Source organism: Homo sapiens, chromosome 6, assembly GCF_000001405.40.
Source record: "Homo sapiens chromosome 6, GRCh38.p14 Primary Assembly".
Classification (NCBI taxonomy): domain Eukaryota; kingdom Metazoa; phylum Chordata; class Mammalia; order Primates; family Hominidae; genus Homo; species Homo sapiens.
The window spans coordinates 151,695,730-151,715,248 of record NC_000006.12 but is presented as its reverse complement, the minus strand read 5'-3'; the positions used below and the strand labels follow the sequence as shown (position 1 = coordinate 151,715,248).

The 19,519-nt window shown below is 38.0% G+C and overlaps 1 protein-coding gene across 12 annotated transcripts in view, besides 1 other annotated feature; it reads right to left on the bottom strand.

The window, feature by feature from the left end:
- ESR1 (estrogen receptor 1) overlaps nt 1–19,519 on the bottom strand; it is a 472,948-nt gene that overhangs the window by 414,371 nt on the left and 39,058 nt on the right. For 10 of the 12 annotated variants that reach the window (XM_047418290.1, XM_017010377.2, NM_001385568.1 and 7 more), the window contains one exon: nt 13,244–13,374. The exons of 1 other annotated variant lie outside the window; for it this stretch is intronic. The gene's annotated coding sequence lies outside the window, so the exon portion shown is untranslated. Of the gene's footprint in view, nt 1–13,243; nt 13,375–13,535; nt 18,721–19,519 lie in introns of those variants that run through there. One more of the 12 variants, XM_017010379.2, reaches the window with a different exon arrangement.
- Nucleotides 18,519–18,646: a silencer, noted in NCBI's record as "fragment chr6:152017738-152017865 (GRCh37/hg19 assembly coordinates)". NCBI's record gives its function as "represses an EF-1alpha promoter that drives an FKBP-Casp9 reporter gene in an ReSE screen in K562 erythroleukemia cells {active_cell/tissue: K562}" and the evidence as "EXISTENCE:reporter gene assay evidence [ECO:0000049][PMID:32094911]".

Below are 19,519 nucleotides of genomic sequence, written 5' to 3'. Positions count from 1 at the left end.
AAGGTCGTGTTACCCACAAAGGGAAGCCCATCAGACTAACAGTGGATCACTCTGCAGAAACCTTGCAAGCCAGAAGAGAGTGGGGGCCAATATTCAACATTCTTAAAGAAAAGAATTTTTAACCTAGAATTTCATATCCAGCCAAACTAAGCTTCATAAGTGAAAGAGAAATAAGATCCTTTACAGACAAGCAAATGCTGAGAGATTTTCTCACCACCAGGCCTGCCTTACAAGAGCTCCTAAAAGAAACACTAAATATGGAAAGGTAAAACTGGTACCAACCACTGCAAAAACATACCAAATTGTAAAGACCATCAACACTACGAGAAACTGCATCAACTAATGGGCAAAATAACCAGCTAGCATCATAATGACAGGATCAAATTCACACATAAAAATATTAATCTTAAATGTAAACAGGTTAAATGCCCCAGTTAAAAGACACAGACTGGCAAACTGGATAAAGAGTCAAGACCCATTGGTGTGCTGTATTCAGGAGACCCATATCACATGCAAAGATACACATAGGCTCAAAATAAAGGAATGGCGGAAGATTTACCAAGCAAATGGAGAGCAAAAAAAAAGCAGGGGTTGCAGTCCTAGTCTCTGATAAAACAGACTTTAAACCAACAAAGATCAAAAAAGACAAAGAAGGGCATTACATAATGGTAAAGGTATCAATGCAACGAGAAGAGCTAACTATCCTAAATATATATGCACCCAATACAGCAGCACCCAGATTCATAAAGCAAGTTCTTAGAGACCTACAAAGAGACTTAGATTCTCACACAATAATAGCGGGAGACTTTAACACCCCACTGTCAATATTAAACAGATCAATGAGACAGAAAATTAACAAGGATATTCAGGACTTGAACTCACCTCTGGACCAAGCAGACCTAATAGACATCTATAGAAGTCTCCACCCCAAACCAAGAGAACATACATTCTTCTTAGCACCACATCACACTTATTCTAAAATTGACCACATAATTAGAAGTAAAACACTCCTCAGCAAATGCAAAAGAATGGAAATCCTAACAGTCTCTCAGACCACACTGCAATCAAATTAGAACTCAGGATTAAGAAACTCACTCAAAACTGCACAACTACATGGAAAGTGAATAACCTGCTCCTGAATGACTACTGTGTAAATGACAGAATTAAGGCAGAAATAAATAAGTTCTTTGAAACCAATGAGAACAAAGACAGAACATACCAGAATCTCTGGGACACAGCTAAAGCAGTGTTTAGAGGGAAATTTATAGCACTAAATGCCCACAAGAGAAAGCAGGAAAGATCTCAAACTGACACCCTAACATCACAATTAAAAGAACTAGAGAAGCAAGAGCAAACACATTCAAAAGCTAGCAGAAGACAAGAAATAACTAAGATCAGAGCAGAACTGAAGGAGACAGAGACACAAAATAAACTTCAAAAAAAAATCAATGAACACAGGAGCTGGTTTTTTGAAAAGATTAACAAAATAGATAGACTGCTAGCCAGACTAATAAAGAAGAAAAGAGAAAAATCAAATAGACACACTAAAATATGATAAAGGGAATATCACCAGCAATCCCACAGAAATACAAACTACCATCAGAGAATACTATAAACACCTCTGCGCAAATAAACTAGAAAATCCAGAAGAAATGGATAAATTCCTGGACACATACGCCCTCCCAAGACTAAACCAGGAAGAAGTCAAATCCCTGAACAGACCAATAACAAGTTCTGAAATTGAGGCAGGAATTAATAGCCTACCAACCAAAAAAAGCCCAGGACAAGATGGATTCACATCCGAATTCTACCAGAGGTACAAAGAGGAGCTGGTACCATTCCTTCTGAAATTATTCCAAACAATAGAAAAAGAGGGACTCCTCCCTAACTCATTTTATGAGGCCAGCATCATCCTGATACCAAAACTTGGCAGAGACACAACAAAAAAAGAAAATTTCAGGCCAATATCTCTGATGAACATTGATGCAAAAATCCTCGATAAAATACTGGCAAACTGAACCCAGCAGCACATCAAAAAGCTTGTCCACCACAATCAAGTCAGCTTCATCCCTGGGATGCAAGGCTGGTTCAACATACACAAATCAGTAAATGTAATCCATCACATAAACAGAACCAATGACAAAAACCACATGATTATCTCAATAGATGAAAAAAAGGCCTTCAATAAAATTCAACACCCCTTCGTGCTAAAAACTCTCAACAAAGTAGGCATTGATGGAACATACCTCAAAATAATAAGAGATATTCATGACAAGCCCACAGCTAATACTATACTGAATGGGCAAAAGCTGGAAGAATTCCCTTTGAAAACCAGCACCAGACAAGGATATCCTCTTTCACCACTCCTATTCAACATAGTATTGGAAGTTCTGGCCAGGGCAATCAGGCAAAAGAAAGAAATTGAGGGTATTCAAATAGGAAGAGAGGAAGTTAAATTGTCTCTGTTTGCAGATGACATGATTGTATATTTAGAAAACCCCATCATCTCAACCCAAAATCTCCTTAATCTGAAAAGCAACTTCAGCAAAGTCTCAGGATACAAAATCAATGTGCAAAAATCACAAGAATTCCTATACAGTAATAACAAACAGAGAGCCAAATCATGAGTGCACTTCCATTCACAATTGCTACAAAGAGAATAAAACATGTAGGAAGACAACTTACAAGGGAAGTGAAGGACCTCTTCAAGGAGAACTACAAACCACTGCTCAAGGAAAAACGAGAGGACACAAAGAAATGGAAAAACATTCGATGCTCTTGGATAGGAAGAATCAATATCATGAAAATGGCCACACTGCCAAAAGTAATTAATAGATTCAATGCTATCCCCATCAGGCTACCATTGACTTTCTTCATAGAATTAGAAAAAACTACTTTAAATTTCATATGGAACCAAAAAAAAGCCCGTATAGCCAAGAAAATCCTATGCTAAAAGAAAGCTGGAGGGATCATGCTACCTAACTTCAAACTATACTACAAGGCTACGGTAACCAAAACAGCATGGTACTGGTACCAAAACAGATATATAAACCAGTGGAACAGAACAGAGGCCTCAGAAATAACGCCACACATCTACAACCATCTGATCTTTGGCAAACCTGACAAAAACAAGCAATGGGGAAAGGATTCCCTATTTAATAAATGGTGATGGGAAAACTGGCGAGCCATATGCAGAAAACTGAAACTGGATCCCTTCCTTACACCTTATACAAAAATTAACTCAAGATTAAAAACTTAAATGTAAGACCCGAAACCATAAAAACCCTAGAAGAAAACCAACGCAATACCATTTAGGACACAGGCATGGACAAAGACTTCATGACTAAAACACCAAAAGCAATGGCAACAAAAGGCAAAATTGACGAATGGGATCTAATTAAACTAAACAGCTTCTGCATAGCAAAAGAAACTATCATCAGCATGAACAGGCAACCTACAGAATGGGGGAAAAATTTCGTAATCTCTCCATCTGACAAAGGGCTAATATCTACAAGAACTTAAACAAATATACAAGAAAACAAACAACCCCATCAAAAAGTGGGTGAAGGATATGAACAGACACTTCTCAAAGGAAGTCATTTATGCGGCCAACAAACATATGAAAAAAAGCTCATCATCACTGGTCATTAGAGAAATGCAAATCAAAACCACAATGAGATACCATCTCACACCAGTTAGAATGGTGATCATTAAAAAGTCTGGAAACAGGCCAGGTGCGGTGGCTCACGCCTGTAATCCTAGCACTTTGGGAGGCCAAGGCAGGTGGATCACGAGGTCAGAAGATCGAGACCATCCTGGCTAACACAGTGAAACCCCGTCTCTACTAAAAATACAAAAAATTAGCTGGGCATGATGGCGGGCGCCTGTAGTCCCAGCTACTTGGGAGGCTGAAGCAGGAGAATGGCATGAACCCGGGAGGTGGAGCTTGCAGTGAGCCAAGATTGCACCACTGCACTCCAGCCTGGGCAACAGAGTGAGACTCCATCTCAAAAAAAAAAAAAAAGTCAGGAAACAACAGATGCTGGGGAGGATGTGGAGAAATAAGAATGCTTTTACACTGTTGGTGGGAGTGTAAATTAGTTCAACCATTGTGGAAGACAGTGTGGCAATTTCTCAAGGATCTAGAACTAGAAATACCGTTTGACCCAGCAATCCCATTACTGGGTATATACCCAAAGGATTATAAGTCATTCTACTATAAAGACACATGCACATGTATGTTTATTGCAGCATTATTCACAATAGCAAAGACTTGGAACCAACCCAAATGCCCATCAATGATAGACTGGATTAAGAAAATGTGGCACATATACACCATGGAATACTATGCAGCCATTAAAAAGGATGAGTTCATGTCCTTTGTAGGGACATGGATGAAGCTGGCAATCATCATTCTCAGCAAACTAACACAGGAACATCAAACCAAACGCCACACTCATAAGTGGGAACCTAAGGACACAGGGAGGGGAACATCACACACTGGGGCCTGTCAGAGGGTGGGGGGCTAGGGGAGGGATAGCAATAGGAGAAATACTTAATGTAGATGACGGGTTGATGGGTGCAGCAAACCACCATGGCATGTGTATACCTGTGTAACAAACCTGCACGTTCTGCACATGTATCACAGAACTTAAAGTGTAATAATAAAAAAAAATTCAATTTACCATAATTTTATTGACCTTTTCTTTATATAAATTGTTGCTTTTGTAGGTCAAAAAGTGGTCAACTATTGGCAATTTCATGTTTCAAGCTAATATTTTGGAGCTACGTTGCTGATGTTTGTTGGTTCGGGTTTGTTATATTTTTCTGATATATTGTGTGATAAATATTTTTTACTTTAAAGTCTATTTCATCTGCCATTTATACGGTTGGAGCATCTTCATTTTGATCAGTATTTTAAAAATGTAATCCACGTATCTTTCTTCTGACTAAATCCTATTTGGACTGAAAAAAAAAAAGGAAAACCAGGCTAACATTATAAATAATATTAATGAGTAGGGAGCATCAAACTTGCCAAATGTTAAAAGAGACTATACAGCTATTATAATCAAAGCAATACGTCTCAGGCCTGGCAACAAATAAATAGATTAGTGGTTTAGAGAAAAAAAATCTTTAAATTGATGCTAATATAATTTAATTTATTGGAGAAAAGATTATTTAACATGTGATGTTTAAACAATTCGTTCTTTATATAAAAAGAGATGCAGTTGAGCCTTCCACTTTTATATAAAAAAATTCCAGATGTAAAAAATACTAAATATTAAAAATAATAAAATAAAACATAGAAATTTTTAGAAGAAAATTTTAGAAAATAGGAGGTGGGAAGACTCTTTGAAGTAAGATAGGAAATTCAGAATACGTATAGGAAGAAAAATTTTATTTCATACAATTATTTTTTAATTTTGTAGCAGAAAATTATAAAAGTAAAATCAAAGGAGAAATTATTGACGGGGTAAGATTTAGCAATCCACTGACCAAAAAAAAAAAATCTATAGAAAAAATGCTCAGCATCACTATAATCATCAGAAAATGGAAATTAAAACCACAAAGAGATATCATCTCACACCTGTTAGAATGGGTATTATGAAAAGGACAAAAGATTAAAAGTGTTGGCAAGGATGCGGAGTAAAGAGAACCCTTGCACACTGTTAGTGGGAAGGTATGTTAGTACAGCCACTATGGAAAACAGTAATCATACAATTACCGAATGACTCAGCAGTCCCACTACTGGGTATATGCCCAAAGCGAATGTATTCAGTATGTCAAAGCCATATCTGCACTCCCATGTTTATTACAGCATTATTCATAATAGCCAAGATGTAGAATCAATCTAAGTATCCATCAACAGATGAATGGATAAAGAAAATATGGTATATGTTCACAGTGGAATACCATTCAGCCTTAAAAAAAGAGAAAAATATTGTCATTTGCAACAACACGGATGAACCTGGAGCACATTATATTAAGTGAAATAAGCCAGGCACAGAAAGACAAATACCAAAAGATCTCACTTATATGTAGAGTCTAAAAAGGTTGATCTCATAGACATAGAGAGTAGAATGGTGGTTACCGGGGCTGGGGCAGTGTCGGGCAGAGGGGTGGGAGGTGAGGGTTGGAAAGACATTGGTCAAAGGATGCAAAACTTCAGTTAAATCGGAAAAGTAAGTGCAAGAGATCCACTGTACAACATGGTGACTATAGTTAATAACAATATATTATATTCTTGAAAAATGCTGAGAGGTTTTAAGTGTTCTCACCACAAAAATGATAACTTCATGAGGTAACGCACATGTTAATTAGCTATATTTAGCCATTCCACAACGTGTGATATATATATCTCGATATTGATATATCAAGATATATGTATATCTCAAAATATCATATTATACACAATAAATCATACAACTTTATCTGCCAGTTTTTAAAATCTGTAATAGTCAAAGAACTTTTACAAATTTTTAATAAGAGAAAAGCAACCATATAAGGGAGAAATAGGTCAAGGATATCCATTGGTAATTGACAGATAAGAAAATCCAAAGGAACAACAATAATGTGAAAAGATGCTTAAGCTCATTAGAAGTCAAGAAAATGAAAAGAAAATTAACAATGCTTACTCATTAGATCAGGAAAGATTAGAAAGCAGGGAAATAGGAGTACTAGTGAGGAAAATGATACTCTCCAACATCACTAGTGGGACTGTGATTTGCTATAATATTTTTAGAAAATAATATGAAAAAACCAATAGAAATGTAAAAATACACATACCTTTTAAACCAGCAATTCTACTCCTGGGACTTACACCATAACAATAAAACCCCCAATTACTAAGAATATATATCTAAGAATATTTGTAATGACAGCACTTTTTTATATGTTGAAAACTGTTCACAACAGAGTATCAGCTGAAAGCAGATTACTTGAATAAGTTATAGTAAATTTATACTGCATGCAACTACTGAAAAGAATGAGATAGATCTATAAGATTTATCAGAATCTTTAAGACATATTGCAAAGTGACAAAACCAAGATTCAGAGTAATACACACACACATATATTATGTATATAACCTTATCCCACAATTTATGATAAAGAAGGACCATTGCCCTGAAAAATCAGTGCATGTGTAAATATTGGGTTGTGTGAGCATGGAGAAAAGAGTAGAGGATACACATCAACCTGTATTTGTTGGTTTCTGTGAAGGGGTACAGAACAAGAAAAGAGAAAGGAAAAAGGGAGGAAAAAAGACCCCCAAGATCTCTGTAACATAATAGAAATATGCATGGCACTGTAACAAGAGAAAATGTAAAAAATAAAATTCTATCTGTCAAATTAGTGGAAATTACCTATTATATTTAATAATAGAATAAGTTCATAGACAAGGACTACAAGAGGCATAGCCAAATAAAATCATGATTTGATTTCTAGATGGGATTTTGAAAAATTTTTGCTTGGAATTTTTAAAGAGAACTTCTACAATACAATCATGTTTTAAAAGGAAGTAAAAAAAAATATATCTGGCAATACTCCTTAAGGACTTTATAAAGAACTTTGCCCCTTGACATTCTATTTCCACTTTTTGGAATTACTCTTAAGGAAATAAATGGTGGACCACAATCCTTGTTAAAACACCTAAGTAGTGTAAATAAATTCTAATGTTAAATAAAATCTACAAGATACAACATCATTTCAATTTGCAAAATATATACCTGTGTATCTATTTTATGCATGTATTTTATATATACATATAATGTGTATATATACATATATACACTACATATTACAAACGGAAATTGTGTTGTATCTTAGATTTTTATTAATTATATTGTGGGAATATTTTATGTTTTTTAATTTACATATATACACACTTAAATATGTATACCCACACACATACATATTGCTAAGAAAAAGATGAAAAGAAAATGTCCTAAAATATTGTTAGTGATTATCTATAGCTGATGAGAATAAGTGATTTTTATGTATGTCTTTATGCTTATCTCTTTTCTAAACTTGCTAAAATTAATATGCATTCAACCATATGCAAAAATGTAATAATCATTTTTAAATGGAAGCATAAGAAAGATAATGATTTCATTTTGAAATGAACATTGGCATTTCTAGTCAATTCTACATGTTCAGAGGCACAGCCTGCCTCCAATGCTCCTTCAACATTAGAGCTTTGTGCTAGACGCTCACTAACCTAAACACACGGCTTACATCCCTTGGATAAAGGTCGAAGCACAGCCCTCTAGCAAACTATCCTGCCAGTGTCATATAAACCCTGGAACACCACAAATCCTCACGTTTTGAGGACAAATCCTTCCAGTAGGCAGCTCTCAGAGAGGCTATACAGAAAGCCTTCCTATGATTCCAAACCAGTAAAGCTGTTTTTTTATTTTACTTCTACTGAATAGCAGTCATGATTTATTTCTTCAGGTTTCCAGGTAGAACAGATTTCTATAGTTTGGTCTAAAGTCTTAACACTGGAAACACTTCCTCCATGTGTTCTGTGGTTTCTCCTCCTGAGTAGAAAGGATATCAGCTGAAACCCTAGGCAAGGGCAGGCTGTGGGAAGGCAAGCAAGGCTGCAGGGGTGATCTGGTGTGCTCTCGTGGCACAGCAAGGAAAACCAATAAGCTTTGCTCTTATCCCAGGAACCCTACCCTGAGAAGACCTGACCCGCCAACAAGGTAAACAATGGCCCTGTGGAGCCTGCTTCTTCCCTCCCACCTCTCTCCTGCCCCGCCCTGGGATGGCCTTGTGCTTCCTGGTTGAGGCAAACAAGGATGCCCGCTACCTCTTCTTCCCAAGACCCAGTAGGATTGAAGAAAGTTAAACAGAAACAGCAGTGGATCACTTTCAAGCCCACTAGTCAATCTCTCCTGTTGCCAAAGTCAGTTGAAGAAATGGGTCCTGCATGTTGGAGCTGAGTCAAAATCACAAAACTATGAAGAGCTTTTCAATACTCAGCTAGTAACAAAACATTATTTCCACTTTGATGAGCAGCAATATATTATTGAAATAGGCGCCAAAGCAATGGCTGAATGTCGCAATAGGAAGAAAATGTAAACATCTATATGTGCATGCAGGGTCTTAGGTCTTAGCTGATTCCAGCTGCTGGTGTCTGGCTTTCTCTGGCATCATGGAACCCAAAAGTCCAAATAACTAAGATTTTTCACTGGTTGTTGTACACACACAGCTTCAGACTGTACAGAAAATTCTGGTACCTCTTATTTGCTATTATGTGTCAGGCCAACAATATGACACATAGAAAACTAGTATAATCCACTGTGTGACCTTGTTAGGTAGACAGACCAAAATAAATGGAATAAACCAGCTGAATCTTTTAGACTCAATCTACCATAATCAAAGCATGTACTAAGGATCCTCTTAGCACACACCCAGACTGATAAATTAATAAAACCAGTCCCTTCCTCTTGCCACCTGACATAAAGGCAGGAATTACAATAAACAATACTGGAATATATTTACTGGGTTGCAGCTTACTTAGAGACAAGATTAAAGCAACAAGATAAAGTCAAAACTGGGAAAAATCACAGCAGATAGGTACCTGTAAGAATGGAAATACAGCAGAGAAGTAATTTGTCCTAAATAGAGAATGAAGAGACATAATGGCAGCTTATTCATTAGTGGAAATGGACACATATTATTATATTGTAGTCAGTTCTTGATTATTCATGTGTGATTTACCAATTTTTTGGCTTATCCTTCTCTCTGCAAGCCTTTGTACATCTGAGTCATCTTCTTTCCATCTTTTCCATCATCTTTTCCATCTTTAGTTCATATGTGTTTAGAAACCCCCAAAATAATGATATAGATCATTAACCCATATAAAACTTAATTAGGAAAGCAAAACTGATGGCATGGCTATTATACTGGTCAAAGGATCCTTTCACCTCTCCAGTTTGGGACCAAATCTGATGACACATTTTCACTAGAGGAAGAGAAGTCAGCATGGGAATTGAGCTTGATAAATAAAATTATTAGTCAGCTAATCCTAGCCTGTTGTCTTTCTGCTAGGTAAAAGTGTTCCAGATATATATAATCTGTCAGCTCTATTAAGTATCATTTATAGGCAGGAAAAATGTGCTCTTATGATGATCAGAGTCCCCATATCTCGCACACAATGGGGATACAAATATCATTTCACAGTGGAAGTCTGAGTTCCTCATTCAATGGATGACAAGCTCCCTATGGGAAGAGATCCTTCCTTTTTATACTGCTCCTATATAGAGGGCTTAGATCCTGAAGTTTCTGAAGGAAACTTCAGGATCTAAGCCCTCTGCCTGCATACATAACCTGGAAACCCATATTTACAGGGACCAAGACCTTGAGTTATTGTCCTAAGTTCATGTCCTGTCATATCATTGCCAGCTGGGTAGTCTTTAGCAAATTACTTGATTTTTCTAAGCCTTAGTTCGCTTTCCTAGAAAGTGGGTTTAATGAAACCCCCTCCTAGAGCTGTTGTAATGACCGAATAAACTGTTTTCTATAAAGTGCCATGGAGAGCAGAAAATAATCTGGTGGGTAAATGAATAGGTATCACAACTGTCATTCTGCAAACTACTTGACTGAGCTCACTGACTCCAGACATGACTAAGTAGACCATAAAAGAAATGGAACTTTTATGTTTTAAGTTAAGAATTGACTTTTGTGGCCAGGGGCGTTGGCTCACGCCTGTAATCCCAACACTTTGGGAGGCTGAGGCGGGTGGATCACCTGAGGTCAGGAGTTCAAGACCAGCCTGGTCAACATGGTGAAACATAGTGAAACCCTGTCTCTATCTCTACTAAAAATACAAAAATTAGCTGGGTGTGGTGGCGGGCACCTGTAATCCCAGCTACTTGGGAGGCTGAGGCAGGAAAAATCGCTTGAACCGGGGAGGCAGAGGTTGCAGTGAGCCAAGATCGCACCACTGCACTCCAGCCTGGGTGGTGACAGAGTGAGACTCAGTCTCAAATAAAACAAAACAAAAAAAGAATCGACTTTGTAACTTGAGTGTTGTTTCTTAAAAAAAATATGAAAGAGTGGGAGTGGGGGCAACCCCATGGGTGGCTTCTACACTAACCTATCAACATACATTTTACATCTTTTATTTTTTAGCCCTTAGAATCTTTCTACTCAAGATCAAATTTTAATATTAATAGAGCCAAATATATTTGATTATGGGAGAACCACTGATGTTCTGTGTTGTTTATAAATTGGAAAGGCAGCAAAAATGGAGGAGAATTATTCTGGTGACCCAACCTAAGTGACACAGTTACCCAGGCAGATGCGCAATAGCGTCTAGAATCCCAACAGTTTGTCTCAGGTCTCTTTCAAAATCTCAGCAACAGCACCTTAGACCTTTCTGGAATCAAAGTTTTGGATCTAAGACTTCAAAGTGGGGAAAGCAATGCAAGACTACTCAGGGACTGACATGTGTAGAATCAAAAAGAGAGAAAGGGAGGTATATGCTGAAAATGGTATGAGATCCATACCCCCAGTGACTTGCACTGGTTCTTCTACTTTGTTCAGCCTCAGCCAGATGGAAGACTCGTTTCTATATTAAAATCTTTTTTCCCCCTCCTTCATTATCTCTCCCTGCTGCCCAAAAGAGGAATCAAACTCACTGCATCAAGCTGGCAAAGAGCTACAGGCGCCTTCCACTTGGAAGTAAGAAGCTAGAGCAGCTCACCCATTAACATTTCTGTGATTCACAGGAGAGCTCATTCACAGCTGCTCAGACTCTGAGCAGAGAGATTAGAACTAGAACTGTTTAAAATTCCTAAGCCAGAGGAGTTTCACGGGGCGGGGTGCTTCTAAACAGCCTGCAGTCAGCCATGCCCTTGCAGACAAGGCTCTGGGGGTTCCACATGCACCTCCAGCCTCAGAAGACTGGCCTGACCAGTCCTGCAGCTGTTTTGAGGACAGTAGCTAAGCCTGGAAGTGGTGACTTTATTTACCATTTTTGGTTAGTCACTAAGTAAAGTCTTTGCCTAGAAACCTTCATTTCTTATGCAGTAGGGTAGAAAAGGTCCAGCTAAAAATTTTCCTGAAATACTTCACCAAACAGGCCAGTTCTACAATTAGGAAATTACCACGCTGAGTAATATTTGCCAGTCTGGTTTTTAGTGAAGTCAGGTTTCGTCCACTGGCATCTCAAGCTGATTGGCAGACAGACCTAGGTCCTACACCCAACCCCTCCCTTGCAATTTGGGCAGGTTATATTTTTAAAAGTGCAGACTTCCTGTGCTTTTGAACATTTTGAAGGCTAGGATAGTATTCACAAATCAGGGGTGCATTTAATCTTTTATATCACATGCCTGCTACTGGATTTGCAAAATGCTGCATAGATACACAGCCTCTCAAGTTGGCTTCTAGGCAATGGTGACAATTTGCACTTTCTAGAGGCATGACTTTTCAAGAGGTTTGTGAACTAGTTTTAAAATGTTCTATGGAGGAAATGAGAAATGGACTTGACAGTCAGTAAGTTATTTTATCTTAATTTTAAATAAAAAATAATGTAATTACTTGGTGACCACAAATACAAGTGGCATGGCTTGTCTTTTCCCTTGTGAAACTGCTACCTGTTGTTTTGAATAATTAAATTCAATAGAAATGTTTCTTAATGATTGAGAAGGTTAGAACTATGTCTCTATTTTTAGGTAGGTCACTGAATATGTAAAGTCTAAATTCTGAAGATATTCCCCTATTTTAGGGTTAAATTAAAAGCACACTCACATTTTGCTTCCTATTAGCACCATACAACTGGCAAGAGGAGAAGGAGGTTGTGAAATTCAAATCAAGAAATGTTTTCACTTGCTGGAAACTATGGTAAAGCTCTGAGGGAAAAAAGAATGAAAAGCTCTTTCTTAAGAAAAAAAAAGCTTGGATTTTCCCTACTTAGAGTGGACTATTGAGTATGTAAATAAATTGGTTAACCTCTCTGATACTATGCAAAGAAACCTCACCCACACAGTAGACTTGGGGATTTTTTTAAATGGTGGTAGTGCACAGATTGTATCCTTAATTTCAACCTAAGCAACGCATGTAGAGTGCCCATCAGATAGTAGGTGTACTGCTAAGCCCCTGACAATACACACTTGATAATGAAAGAAATTAAATGAAAAATCGTTCTCCAAACTGATGACCAAATTAGATCTTATCAATTCACGGACAAAGTCAGGAGAGAGAAAGAGGAAACTAGTATGTTCACACATACCTCAGTGATGGTTCAAAGTTCAGATTAAAATCTACATCCTTTTTCAAGAAGTGCTGTGCTGATATTTGGTACCGCAGTCCCGGAGAATGTGAAGAGATCTTTGTGCTTACTCCTTCCTAGTTTTCTTCTTCCTTTTGTTTTTTTAACAGAGAAGGAAAGGGAGATGTGGGTGATTTCTACAGATTTCCTTAATTAAAGCTAGTTTGACTCCCCACTTAAGTGAAATAAGGCTGTTAAAAAGAAAAGTAGTCTCACTTATCAATAGGCACTGAAGAATCAATGTTTGGCTTACCTGTTCAGATCAAATTCCTTGATTACATTATTTTACAAAGCTGAGTAGGGCTTAAGCTAGTTACCACTGATGCCATTGGCAAGTATTTCTTCATTCACGCACAGGCCATAATCCACTACACCAACTCAGGCCCACGGGATGACTTCCATTTCTTCTTCTTCTTTTTTTTTTTTTTTTTTTTTTTGAGATGTAGTGTCGCTCTTGCCACCCAGATTGGAGTGCAACGGTGCGGTCTCGGCTCACTGCAACCTCCACCTCCTGGGTTCAAGCATTTCTTCTGCCTCAGCCTCCCAAGTAGCTGGGACTACAGGCGCACACCACCACGCCCGCCAGCTAATTTTTTATCTTTTTAGTAGAGATGGGTTTCACCATGTTGGCTGGGCTGGTCTCCAATTCCTGACCTCCGGTGATCCACCCACCTCAGCCTCTCAAAGTGCTGAGATTACAGATGACTTCCATTTCTATAGATCCATTTTGCCATTAGAAATTAAAAAAAAAAAAACTCCCAGCCCACAGTATCTCAAATCACATGTGCAGCAGCAGAACAAAACCTGCTGTGGCTGTGATAGGTATGATTTTACCACGAAGATTCAGACGTTGTTACATGGTTGAAAAAGCAGTCACTGCACAGAGCAAGTGAGAAATTGAGCAATGCAACTTAATACAGCTTTTCCCTATTGCTTATAAAACAACGTTCTTAATTTTTAATTACATGTAAAATTCTTCTGAATTTTTACTTTAAGTTATTTCAATAGACTCCCTTGGGGTGCTTTAAGAATATCCCATGGGGCACTTTTTTACTGTGGGTCATCAGCCTAAGCTGTTGGAAAAAGGCCCTGGGTTTTTTTGGTTTGTTTTTAAAATGTTGTATAACAGCTTTAAATGTGCAAGACATGATAGAGTGGGGGAAAAAAACTTGTTGAATTCTTAACTTTGTTTTTCCATCTGAAATATTAGTATGCCTGTGTTTTTATTTTTTCCTAATTCCAAGCAACAGTGAACCTAATTTACAATTTTTTTCTCAAAAAAAAAAAAAAAAAAAAAAGGAAAGTTTAACATTGTATTAGGGAGGCTTCAGAATTAGCAGGTGCACTCCAACAGATTTATAGGGGCCAGTGGACTGATAGCTGTATTTTAGGACTGGGAAACATCTGCTCAAAGTAAGTAGTTTATGGTTTCCATATCAAATAGAAGAAAAAAATACCACACTGGTCCTCAGACTTTGGTAGTTGTGTTTTTAGAAAACCAAATTCACACAAATTCTATTCTAGGGGACTTGTATATTTCATTGCTATGTTCTACTAAAGTTAAGGAGGTACAGAAATTGCTCCATGAGGAAATGATAAAGGTCAGAGCCTCAGAATTTTAAGTGGAAAATTCATAAGCATGCATTATGGAGGGAAAAAAAGGCTAATTAAATATAACACTCAACTAAACTATAAAAAAAGACTTGTTTTCTCCATGTAAGTCAGATTATATGGGCTTCCTCCACCACTTCAACCCACTAATCTAAAGTAATGAAATGCAATCTCTGGAAGTACTCAGAATTAGACATGTAACAGATAATAACAGAGATTTGAAGAAATTTTGCACAAACATGCAACAACCTTAGGAATGAACTCTTTTTTTTTTTTTTCACTTGTCCTCTAGTCTCGCTCTAAATAACCACATGAAGTAAGGAATTGGCTGTTATTCAGTAAATTTGGACTGTGGACACTGACCAAATGGCTTGACATTCTACCTCCACCCCTTATCCTATTTTCAGTCCACATTTTCCCTCCACGGTGACTTTCTGGTTATATATTATCTGGTTTGGCCGTCTCCACTGCCCACTTCAGATAATTGCTCAATTCTCAACTTGGCTTCTTGCTGCATAGGCTTGACCTAAGAGAATGGATGAAGAAAGAGCCAGCATTTTCCTTTGATCTCTCAGAACTCAGGATTCCATTATATAATCTACCATAAATCCTGGCAGTCGAGATTGACACCAACATTGAAACTTGCCATAATATGACACTCCTTATTGATTCATTATGTATTCTGACATTTCTTCATTAACACGAACTCAATACTGCAGTCTGTCAGTGATAAGAAATTTTTCTTAGTTGCCTTCTCAATATTTTTGAGGGTTGCCTTGGTTAATTTTTCTCTTCTGCTATCTAAGCTTCATATGCCAAATGTTCTAACTGGCTATCTGCCTCTAAGGTTTAAGCTCACAGATGTTTCCTTGTGTCCACAGAAAATACTACTCCGCTGAGAATAGTTTTGATAAATAAAATTGGCAATAAATTTAGAACCAAAGAGCTGGATAAAGAAATCAAGTGCAACCCATGTTATCCACACTTTTGTAAATCTACAAACTTGTCTAGTATACCCAGTAATAGTAGATTCTAGGAATCCCATCAACAAAGTAAAGTCTTAAATAATCCCAAAACCTCCTTCTATGTAGCAGTACAAATCTTTTCCCCTACTAAACATTACCATGGCTTCTAACAAGCAGAGAATTGGCACAACAAATTTCACTTCTATTCCAAGTGCAGAGGGAGGAGTAAAATGGACAGAATCCAAATGTCGAGAAAGAAGTGAAGAAAGGACCCTGCAGAGCCCAGATAGGAATAATACGTGAACTGTTCTAAGTGATTAATACTCCACTACATTAATACTGCTTATGCAACACGAATGCTGTAGTAAGCAGGAGACCTTTGCTTTCTGCTTTTTTCCCTTTCCTAGAAAACATTTTCCTAGGAGTCTTTCCCTTCACAAATGACATGTGAAGGAGCTATATGCTTGATTTGTGAAGATTGAGTGATCCGGAGGAATAGGACCGTCAAACGGACAAGAGCAGTGTTCTTCCTGTTGAATGTTATCATGTCACCCTCTCCTGGTACTTCGCTGCTCAAAATTCAAAGCCCAGGCATTTCCACCATGGAACATTCTCAGGAGTGTAGCATCATCATTTGAGATTTACTGTAACTGAAGTGAAATTATTTAGTGGGTTTGGCCTTTTTCCCTCCCGACTCTACCCCCAGTAGCTCCTTGCCTTTTCTTTTTAAATTGTTGCTCTAGCCTTTTATTTCCCCTTGGAAGAGAAGGAAAAAGAGGAAATCAGAAAGGACACTCGTCCTCCTTCCCTCTACCCACAAATCACAGAATTTAGCTTTTCCATTCCCATAACTGTAAAGCATTTTAGGCAACTGCAGGAGAGATCACAGTTTTCCTTTCCAAGCAGAATCCTAAATCAGTGCAATGAAAACATGTCTGTCTTTTATTCCCAGCACAGATGCCCATGGGTTTGGTTGTGTTTATACTGTCAGTATCTTAAGTCACTTTTTTTTTTTTTTAAGACAAGATCTTGCTCTGTTGCCCAGGCTGGAATGCAGTGTGCAGTGGCGCTATGTCAGCTCACTGCAGCCTGGATCTCCTGGGCTTAAGTCATCCTCTCACCTCAGCCTCTCAAGTAGCTGGGACTACAGGCGTGCACCACCACACCTGGCTAATTTTTGTATTTTTTATAGAGATGGGGTTTCGCCATGTTGCCCAGACTGCTCTCAAACTCCTGAGCAAAAGCAATTCACCCACCTCGGCCTCCCAAAGTGCTAGGATTACAGGTGTGAGCCACCAGCATTAAATGTTCTGTCGCCCAGGCTGGAGTGCAGTGGTACAATATTGGCTCACTGCAACCTCCACCTCCCGGTTCAAGCGATTCTCTTGCCTCAGCCTCCCTAGTAGCTGGGACTACAGGCGCATGCTGCCACACGGGGCTAATTTTTTATTTTTAGTAAAGAAGGGGTTTCACCATGTTGGCCAGGCTGGTCTCGAATGCCTGACCTCAGGTGATCTGCCTGCCTCAGCCTCCCAAAGTGCTGGGATTACAGGTGTAAGCCACCACACCCAGCCCTTAAATCACTATTCTAAGAGAAGTTTGCTAAAGGCAAAAGCTATAGAATCATAAAATACTACAGCTGCAGGGACCACACATTTCCCCTAGTCCAAAGATGCCATCCATTTTGTGAGGGAAATGAGGTGTTAAAAATAAAAGACTTATTCAGTACCCAACATAAAGTACCTATTTAATAAATATAAAAAATTCAAATGGTCTGAATCCTAATCTCACAGAAATATGATCATTTTCTTCTGCATCTATATCTTGTCCAAAGAAAATAATTTTACTATAAAAATATTCCAAGTAAACAGCATTTTACACATATAAGGCATACTGCCTTTCAAAATTATATCACTTAGTCTTCATTGTATCACTAGTATAATGTTTTGACGGCTGTCTGGTAGTTGTTATGCCCATTTTACAGTTAGGAAGATGGGGCACCAAGCTTGCAGCTTCTCACTGCGCACATCAGTGGCACAGTCCCATCTTTTGATTCTCAATACACTTCTTTCTCCACCAATCATTTCTGAAACAAAATCTTTACAACCATAAACAATCATGATTGCAAAAAACAAGTCCTAAAAGATTTTTTTTAATGGTGTGACACCTCCCTTGAACTATTTCCCTCACCTCCGAATTGATGTACCCACTCTTCATCTGAAAACTTCAATCCACACAGTATTTTTCTAAGGTTAAGTCTTTATTTCATTCCAATCCTACACCAACATCTTTAATGCCTACAAGATAAAGTTCAAGCTCCTTAATAGGACATCTGACTCTCCACTTCTAAATTACCTCCTACCACCACCTTGCACTTTTCTTAACTATGTTTCTGTCAGACTGATGGTTTCCCAAAACCACCTCCCCCATGCCTTTCATTATGCACCTCCTTTTCCTTGTATTTTCCCATGTAAACATTACCTGTCCTTTAAGGTCATGGTCAAGAGTCGCTTCCTACCCAAAGCTATCCCTAACCATCCTGCACCAACCCAGAAATACCTTCTTCTGTTTACACTTCCTCACCGTGGTGCTCAGCACTCTGCAAGCACTCTTCACATTCTACTCTGCTGAATTGTATTAGTTGATGTTATGGCTTTAGGCACATATTGTAGTGTGCTACTCTGTAATAGTCACATATCATATTATGTGCCTTACTGATCACACCTGATAGAGATTGTCTAGGGATCAAGGAACATGCCAGGCTCAATCTCACTCTACAATTATGTGCCAAACACCAGTGTGTACCAGGCACTTCCCAAGGCACAGGGTAGAAAACTGAACAACCCCATCTATGCACCCGAGGCACTACTTATTTATTTATTTATTTATTTATTTATTTATTTATTTATTTATTTATTTGAGATGGAGTCTCTCTATGTCTCCCAGGCTGGAGTGCAGTGGTGTTATCTCAGCTCACTGCAACCTCCGCCTCCCAGGTTCAAGCGAATCTCCTGCCTCAGCCTCCCAAGTAGCTGGTATTACAGGCATGCACCACCATGTCCGGCTAATTTTTTGTATTTTTAGTAGAGATAGCATTTCACTATGTTGGCCAGGCTGGTCTCAAACTCCTGGCCTCAACTGATTCACTGGCCTCAGCCTCCCAAAATATTGGGATTACAGACATGAGCCACCATGCCCAGCCCTGAGGCACTTTTAATCTAGCTGGGAATAGAGACTCTAGGACAAGCCATAATAAACCACAGCAAGGCCCTTGTCAATATTACTCATTTCTTAAATAAAATTAGAAAAAGAATTTAACAATATGAGTTAAATTAAACTATGCATATATTGGATTCTAAGTAACCTTAATCCTTAAATATTCTTTCAGAAAACTTGATGCAGGTACGATTTCCAAAATTTTAAATTTTGTAAATTTTGTAAAATTTGGAATTTCCCAATAAGGAATTTCCAAAATTGCTTATTAGAAAGAAAGAGCAATTTGTGTCTTTATTTGTCACATAGTTTTAAGGTGAAAGATACTAAAACGGATTACTATATGTGATGCAATTATCTTTATTAAGCACCTTTCTTTACATGGTTTTAAGCAAATAAATTCTGACCAGTTATTGCTTCTAATAAATAATTATTAGAGTACAAAAGC